A 9,885-nucleotide genomic window follows, 5' to 3' on the forward strand; every position below is an offset into this window, starting at 1 on the left:
TCTCATCCTCATTCATTGCTCTTGTTACGGCAAACAAGCACAGTCTTCTTTTCTTCTGTTCTCTTCATTGTGGTCTGTGTAAGTCTCCGTGGTCACAAGCATCTTTCTCATCTATCCATTTGCCATCATAACTCTTCACCATAAATCCCCCCGACACTGTTTTTTCTTTGTCACTAATGCAGATGATTGATCTGAAGCTGTAAATTTTCCAGGAGCCAACCCTATTGACTCACCTGATACTTCATAATCAGGCAAGCAAACTTGCTTTCAGTCACACAAACAGAAAGAAAATTCTTTGAAAATTAGGAAAAAAATGATTCTGGGGGAAAGAATACGCTAGAGTTGTGACAAGAAAGACTAATGTGTAAAAAAATTTTATCATTTATTCATCTACAGTTTTGTTCTGATTTCTGTGTGTCCTGATGGTTAATACTGAGTGTCAACTTGATTGGGTTGAAGGATGCAAAGTATTGTTCCTGGGAGTGTCTGTGAGGGTGTTGCCAAAGGAGATTAACATGTGAGTCAGTGGACTGGGAGATGCAGACCTACCCTCAGTCTGGGTGGGCTCAATCTAATCAGCTGCCAATGCAGCTAGAACAAAGCAAGCAGAAGAAGATGGAAGAGCAGGCTTGCTGAGTCTTCCAGCCTTCGTCTTTCTCCTGTGCTGGATGCTTCCTACCCTCAAACATCAGATTACAAACTCTTCAGCTTTTGGACTATTGGACTTAACACCAGTGATTTGCCAGGGGCTCTCAGGCCTTCAGCCACAAACCAAAGACTTCACTATCAGCTTCCCTACTTTTGTTTGAGGTTTGGGGACTCTGGCAGGCTTCTTCCCCCACAGCTTGCAGATGGCCTATTGTGGGACTTCACCTTGTGATCATGTGAGTCAGTTCTTCTAATGAATCCCTCTTCATATATACATATATCCTATTATCCTATCTGTCCCTTTAGAGGACCCTGATTAATACATGCATGGTCATGTGTTTGCTTCTTTTTCCTGTTCAGGAGGAAAGGGAAGATAGTCATATTAAGAAAAATAAACCCATTCTAAAATAAGTGAAAATATCATCATGCTCATCATGCTTATTGCAAATGAGCATGATATGTGACTCTCTGCTGGTAAACAGAATTGATTGTTAAGTAAATGAAGTGCTCAATGATATGCTGTACTTAAGTATGTGTAATATGAGTATGTGCTGAACAGAAACATCACAAAATAGAATATGCAAGGTAATGCAATAAGTTTGTGAATAACTGTAGAAGATATGAAACCTTGCTCAGGTAATCAGGGACAAGCGAAGTGAAACAAAACTCAACTGCCACTTTTACATTAGGTTATCAAAAAATTTAAATTCTATTCCAAATGGAATTGAGGAGGTCATGAAATTACTATCCTTCATTCTTTGTTGATGTCATTATCAATGGTCACAAGATTTTGGAAAGCAGTTTGCAGTGTGTATTGAGAGCCACAAAATATTTGCAAACTTGAGGTGATAATTCCATCTATGAAACTTATTTTCTAAAAAATCCAAAAACAGAAAAAAATGCATTTTTATTGTAGTAAATAAAAAGGTAATAACTAATATGATTGCCTTCCAGTACTCAATTGAAATTATGCTACAGCTAAAAATTTTTGTTATGAATACCATGATATGGAAAATATGGAATACAGAAAGTGATAAGATACATTTTGAAACTTTTACTACATTTTTTCTTGTAAAGAAGCCTTGTAACAGTCTATAACAATTAAAAACCAAATTACTTAAAATAACACTATCCAGATATAAATGCTATCAAGTTAGAGTATATTTTGTTCCAGAAAAATTGACAGATTGTTTGATAGTTAAATGCATACACAGATATATAAACGGACATAGTTACATAAATATATAGCGTAACTATGGTTGTAGAGTTTGTAGCTTTTTGTTTATTGTGTAATACTGATGCTAAGTGAGAGAAGCAGAATACAAAATTAAAAATAGCCTAAGATTAATGATATAATAAAGAGAAAAATAAATTACAGGAAAAATGAAAAAATATATATTGAAATATATTAACCCTGGCTTGTAGTAGTAAAATGTGATTAATTTTTTCCACTTTGTAAGAATTTTGGTTTTCTCTTTTTGTTTTTGAGGAATGGGGGTGCTTTGAGTATTTGGAATTTTTCCCAACCCAGAATCATATAACCTTCCACCTTAGAAGAACACCCCTAAATAAGTAGGAGGTGGGGTCTCTGACAACAGAAGCTGAAAAGGCATAAATAATACTTTTCCAACTGTCTGGAACCTAGTGCTCAGGTGCATGACACAGGCAGCGATGCTTAGACATTCCTGCTCATGACTAAGAGTCTTGGGGAGGGAGTAAAGTTGCAGTGACAGCCAGGAGATTTTAAGTGACTGTGGAAAACAGAGATATGGCCATGTATCCAGGGGCAATATTATCAGTGGCTACAAATTAATCAGACTTTTCTGGGGAAATTATGGCTATGCCTTACTTCCCTTAGGGTTTTGAGATGGGCTTTCAAGGGATATTAACCTAATGAAATCATATAACAAATGAAATCTCTACATATGTGCATTTTCCTTGGAGAAGAATCTTCAGATAGGCAAAAGATTCCATGATGCAGGATATGCTAAGAGCCTTCAACATGGGTGATATGGTTTGGCTCTGTGTCACCACCCAAATCTCACCTTGAATGGTAATAATCTCCACAGGTCAAGAGCGGGACCAGGTGGAGATAATTGAATCATGGGGTTGATTTCCCTCATGCTGTTCTTATGATAGTGAGTGAGTTCTCAGGAGATCTGATGGTTTTATAACCATCAGCTTAGCACTCATTCTCTCTTGCCACCCTGTGAAAAGGTGCCTTCCACCATAATTGTAAGTTTCCTGAGGCCTCCTCAGCCATGCGGAACTGTGAGTCAATTAAACCTCTTTTCTTTATAAATTATCCATTCTTGGGTATTTCTTTACATCAGTGTGAGAACAAACACAGTGTGTCAACATTACTGAGGTGCCCTATCCATTTCTGTGCTTCATCTGTTCTTTACAAGATATCTCCACCAGGCTTTACATCTAATAGTCAGAGGTTTGCAATGAATCCATGTTATTTTAGTCAACTAATGAGTCAAATGAATTAATTGATTTGCTCAATTACTTAAAAGTATTTATTGCCATCTTCTACCTGTTGGGCATGGTTTGGTAAATGAGGTACACGTGCAAAAGTCATCAACGATAATCCAGGTGAGGGCTAGAGATAAAAGCATGAAATAATTGCAGTCTTCTCTGTAAAGATGGAAAACTGGATACCCTGAAAATCTCTCGTGACAAATCATCTAAAAATGCCAGGTAAAATACGTATAACATTCTCTTCAATAAAGGTACGACCTTACAAGATAGCAATGGAAATGCTCTGAGGACTAGAAAGAAATTCAGGTCTAGGAGGTAAGTGAGTCTTGCAGCATCAGCAATCAAGGGCACCTACAATCTTGAGTGGCCCCAAGTTTTAATGTTATTTATTTATTTATTTATTTATTTATTTATTTATTTATTTGAAGAGCTTTAGGGGTACAAGTGGTTTTTGGTTACACACATGAATTGTATAGCAGTGAAATCTGGGCTTTTAGTGTACCCATCAACCAAATAGTGTACATTGTACCCAATAGATGATTTTTCATCCCTCATCCAACTCTCATCCTCCTCACTTCTGAATCTCCAGTGTCCATTATACCACACTGTATGCTTTTGTGTATGCATATCAAACTAACTTTAAAGGGCATATGCAGAAGGAGAGAGGAAACTTATGGGGTCAATAGAAATCCAATATTTGTTCAACTCTGGGCTTTTCTGCAGTTACCAATACTGAATTCCTGGTGGCTGCAAAAGTCTCCTTTCAACTGATTTGTGTGGAGTTGAACATATCATTCAAAGTCTTTATATCTCAACCCCTCCACTATGAAAATTTTAGTTACAATGCTTCTATAATTTTTGAAGATATATAAAAAGTCCCACTATATATTACATTGCCATATTCATATATGGGCAGAATTCTTGCATCAGGCCACCTTGTAGTCCTCCATATGAGCTGCCTTTGTGTCAGCCACTCACCCCAGATCCAAAGAATAAAGCAGCATCATGACATTTCATGCTTAAGGGACACCTGTGAACCCCTTTCCTTAGCAGGATTAAGTGGGCAGAAATTTTTTAGGAAGAAGTGTAGAAAAAATTCTGAGGCTTTGTCTTTCCAACTAAGATGACTAAAGGGATAATTTCTAAGTAAACAGGGATGCAAGGAACAATTAATTTATTTTTAACCAGAATAGTGATTTAAGTCTAACACGTTCTTGAATAACAATTTTCAAACTCCAGGAAAACATTGAAAATAATTTATATGCAATGTAAGATGCATTTCCTGGTTGCATTTATATTTTAATGTTATATTTTAATATATAATTTTAAAATACTACTCAGAAATCTAATCCCAGTAGGCCGAGGAATGTGTGATGTGTCAGTCACTCATCTACATGAAAGCGTATAAGCCAAGGTTAAACTATCTGACAATAGGCTGAGTTGTAAGACTACCTAAGATATATATTTATTTTCCTTTAGGGAAGGAATAAAAAGGAAATGGCAGTGTATTAATATAATATATAATATATTAATTGCTATAGGCTGATAATTAGGGTAGCTGAATCAAATATTAAATTTATAAATATCACAAAATTTGGATGGTTTGCAAGCACTAGATAAAACTGAAAATACGTTTATGAATATAGAGAGGTTACAGCTTTGAATAAGAAATATCAAAATAAGATTAGGCTTTGGAAAATGTAAAGTAATGCATCTTGGGTGAAATATTCACAGATAATGAGGGAAATTGAGCTACTGTATTTGGAAAATAGTAGTGTTGCATGAGATTGGGAGTGGTAGTTACAGAAAATTAGTATGAGATTGCATGGAATGATATAGTGGTTTATAAAAACTGTTTGGGCAGCACATGCAGAGATAACACATCACGAGTCAGACAAGTGTGTCCATTTATGAAAACCTCAGTTCCAGAAGGATGTCATCGTACTACAGTGAATGCAGAGAGGGGCTACAAAAATGATTGAGGGTCTGGCAGGGCTGATGTGAAGTAAGATTAAAAAGAACTAAATATGTATGGCTTATCCAAATATAGACTATATCACCACAAAATCATGTGCTCACACACTGAGAAAAGGGACAGAATGTTCCAAGTTTAAGTAAAGGTTATCAAGAACATCCTTAGGAAAAGTAAAAAAAGAAGTTAAGGTGAAATAAGGGCTCCCTAGTGTGTTAAGTAGAGAAAATAAGTGTACCACTTTGGTTCTCTAGACCCATTTTGCAAAGTGAAAATAATACTACCATTTAATCTTTTAGTCTTTCAGTCTCCACATCTTTAAAATCAGGAGTAATGATCCCTTTTTAGCAAATTTAAGAGTTTTGATTGACAAGATCAATTCTAGCCATATTCATTTAAATTTTGTTTTTTGAAAAACATTTAACACAATGCTTAGCATTTAGTATAATAGCATTCAGATTTTATTTCAAAAATTCAAGTTGATCTAAGAAATGTATAGTAAATGTAGTAACGTTTAAATATGAACATGAAATATGGAAACTGGAATTTATTGTGGTTTCTGATATCAAAGATCTTGCAGTCTCATGAATGAGTAGACATGTATTCAAGCACAACAGCAAAATATGTTAATGGCTACAGTAGAGTTTCAAAAAAGAGCAACTGAGATTTCAAGAGATCCAGAGGATAATATTTTAAGGATGAGAGTAAAAGGTGGCACTGGAACTGATCCTTAAAGAGTAGTAGGAATTCAACAAGAGGGGATTGGGTGCAGATCTAAAGAGTGAAGAGTATCAGTGAATGATACCCGAGAGAAGATATGAAACCCATGGGCAAAAGCATGAGTGGCCTGGTATGACTAAAACAAGAACCACAGGGAAGTATGAATGTAAGACCAATCTGGACAGGTGCATTGTCATTTATTGGAGAAAAGCTATGACTAGGATATTAACAGGAGTTTAGACCATATAGAAATCAGTTGTTTTCAAGCATTTTTTAGACTTTTGTCAAATAAAATATTACACAGAGGCCTTATCTATGGAACAGATGAATAGAGTGCCTCTCTGAAGCAGGTTAGAAGCCTTAGGTCCTGCCCACCAGAATCTCTTTAATCTTTCTTCCGAGTCTCCTCACCCAGAAGACTCTGAGGCTAATGGAAAGACTGAGAAACTGTGACACAGAGTTTGAAGAATACAAATATTTGTAAAAAGAAACAACCCAGAACTGTCGAACAAGGCAATGTAACTGGCAGAAATGTGAAGGATAGGTCAGGCTGGGTGAAGGATAGGTGAGCCTAGGTGGTAGATGAGGAATAGAAAAGATGTGGCTTTGATACAGTATAGTTGAATAGCAACTCTCCTAGATTTTTTTTTTAAAGACTGATCATGAGAAACAACAGTAGATGCTAATTTAGATCTTCAGAATGGGTGAGTAAGGCATTGTATAATGCCACTAACTGAGTTAGAGGGAATTTTCACTTCATACGTAATTATGGCTTAGGATTTGAATCTACGACTTTCTCAGCAGCTCTGTTGTGTACCTAGTGACATAAACAATAATAAACTGTATTGCTTGATAGAATTTCTGCCTTCTGAGTTCTGAATTACAAAATCCTGTCACCACAGGGAGAGGGGAGAGAAGTATGTACAAAAAGAATGGGATATCATTGTAAATGAATTCTTTTATTCCCTCATTCATGGGTTATGCATCACTCACTAATCATTTGAAATATGTTAAGTACTGTGGTAGATGCTGGAATAATTGAAGTTTTAATTATTTACTCATTTTTTTATAGATTATTAACCTTTAAACTCATCTTCCAGATAATCATTTCTGTCTTTGTCTCTTTGGGCTGCTATAATAAACTACCACAGACTGGATGGCTTGTAAGCACCAGAAATTTATTTCTCACTGTTCTGGAGGCTGGTAAGTCCAAGATGAAGGCATTGGCAAATTAAGTGTCTGGTGAAGGCCCAATTTCTGTTGTATAGACTGCCATCTTCTCACTGTGTCCTCACATAGCAGAAGGACTGAGGAAGCTCTGTGGTGTCCCTTTTATAAGGACACTAATCCTATTCATGAGGGCTCCATCCTCACGTCATTTTATCTCCCAAAGATCCCATCTCCTCATACCATCGAATTAGGGTTAGAATATGAATATTATTAGAATAGAATATGTATAATAGATACAAATATTCAGTCAATAGCACCATGCTTCCAGATTTATATGTATATAAATACAGAATTTTGAATTTTTTCATTTTTGGATATTTTTATATGTCAAATAGTGTCAAAATATTTGTGTAAGTACCAAATACTATCCCTAAATGAAGACATTTTGACCTATGTTATCAAGTGTCCATATATTTGAAAATATTCTATGTAATAAATAAAATTCACCTTTGTATCCATAAATTTATTTTCATGAAACTTTAGATATTTTATTTCCATCATCTTCATCAAACTAGGATCCCAGTTGGCCAGTTCTATTATGTAAGGACAAATATATGTCTTGAAAAAAAATGATAAGAGTGCTCCTTTAACTTAGCCATCTCAACCCCAAGGTATCACTTCTTATTTTGTATTGTCAGTATCACTGGCAGCAATATTAAAGACTAAAGTACGTTTATTTTAAAAAAATGCCTATTATCAACGTATTTTGAACTATCAATTTTAGAGCAGAGATTGAAAAATTTGAAAAAATATTGTATTTACAGCCATTACTGTATGTCATTACTATACATCATATTAAAAATATAGCATTGCTATATTATCTTTTATATGACTTTTATATTTTTATATAAAAATATTGTTATATTATATTATATACTTTGATTTAATCTTTGAAACCTACAAGACCGGTATAATCACCAATTATATATATGAGGAATTTGGGGTTTTAAAAGTTTAACTTGCTCAAGGGCACATAGCTCCTTACAAGTAAAGTAAGAGTTTGAACTCAGGTTTGTAAATTTCAAAGTCCAAGTACCTTTCATAAAAATGCTCCCTACCAGAGAATAGTAAAGAACTCATTAACATCATCCAATATCATTGTCATTGGGGAGGGGAGAGACGTTAATACTTTTTCTTCCTTGTAATAACTCACTAATTGTCATTTACTGCTATAATATTGTAGTGATAAACCAATTTGAGTTTTGTTTTCCTATCTAGTTGGAAGAGCCATCTCTGGTCAAAATAGCTCTTTAGAAGGAGATCTTTTCATTTACTGTATAAAGTAATCAAGGTCATCAAGTCTCAAATTTATTTTATAAACGAATGAATAATTTGATAATATACATGTTCATAGGATGTCAAATTCATTGTAAATATTTGAAGGATTGGCCTATAAACCATTGGGAGGTATTTACACTGAAATGCATACCAAACTAGATTGAGGTGGGGAGAAATGAGTTCTTAGAGAATGTTTTGAAATGCTGATACATTGACATAAGCTACATGAAAAGTGGTTAATTTTTCTTGTTTGTCCAAAGTTGCTTTACTAAGTTGTAAGACCAAACAAAACAAAAACAAAATAGATTTTTCTATTTTTAGAGATTTCAAAGAGTATTTAAAAGGTGTGCTATGAGTCAAGATCCTAGCTCTGTGACTTCTTACCTCTAGGTCCTTGGCAAGTTATTTTAGCCTCTTTGCACCTCTGTGTCTTCATCTGTAAAATTAAGATATTAGTATCTAATTCATAGAATTTTGGGTGTTAAACTGAGTTAATCACTGTAAATATTTAGTCCACATGGGTAGAAATGAAAAGAATCATTGATGTGGTAGAGAGCAGTGAAGAGGGTGGCTTGGGAGCAGCTGGGCAGGAGCAGGGGCCAGGCCAGAGGTGTTCTGGAGACTATGAAAGGAGCATATCCTTACACTAAAGACACTGAACAGCCATTGCATTATTTTAGCCAAGGACTGATATAATTAAATCTGTAATACAGAAATAATGTTGAAGCTAATCAAAGAGGTTATGATAAAGATTTTTTACTTTCTCACCCTGGAGCAGACTAGGGCAACTATTTAGCCTTTTGTTACTTTCAAGTGGGATCTTGGTCAGGTTCTGGTAGAGCTGCTCTTTTCCATAACTCCTAAAATACAAAGACTTATCCTTACATAGAATAATAAAAAGAGAGGCTAGGTGCGGTGGCTCACACCTGTAATCCCAGCACTTTGGGAGGCCGAGGACGGCGAATCACGAGGTCAGAAGTTCGAGACCAACCTGGCCAACGTGGTAAAATCCTGTCTGTACTAAAAATACAAAAATTAGCCAGGTGTGGTGGCAGGCACCTGTAATCCCAGCTGCTCGGGAGGCTGAGGCAGGAGAATTGATTAAACCCTGGAGGCAGAAGCTGCAATGAGCCAAGATCACGCCACTGCACTCCAGCCTGAACGACAGTGAGACTCCGTCTCAAAAAAAGAAATAAATAAATAATAAATATTAAAAAAATAAAAAATAAAAAGAGCATCTTCGAGAGAATGGATAATAACAGACTTATCTAAAAAGTCAAGTTAGAGAGAAGATCAACAGGAAAAGCAGTGCTATCTCAAGCCATCACACCTAGAAACAATACCCAAATATAGTCTATGTGCTATTCTTACATAAAAATGTTGCCACATAGTACATTGCTTTTGATATGTTGAGGAAGAGAGAGGCAACAAAATTAGAAAATGGAAAAATATATTGCAAATATATATGTGTGTGTGAAATAAATGTTTTAGGATGTCTTAGTATCCTGAATCTATTATTTCCATACCCTTGGATTAAAAATACATAATCAATG

This window comes from Homo sapiens, chromosome 6 (assembly GCF_000001405.40).
Source record: "Homo sapiens chromosome 6, GRCh38.p14 Primary Assembly".
Lineage (NCBI taxonomy): Eukaryota > Metazoa > Chordata > Mammalia > Primates > Hominidae > Homo > Homo sapiens.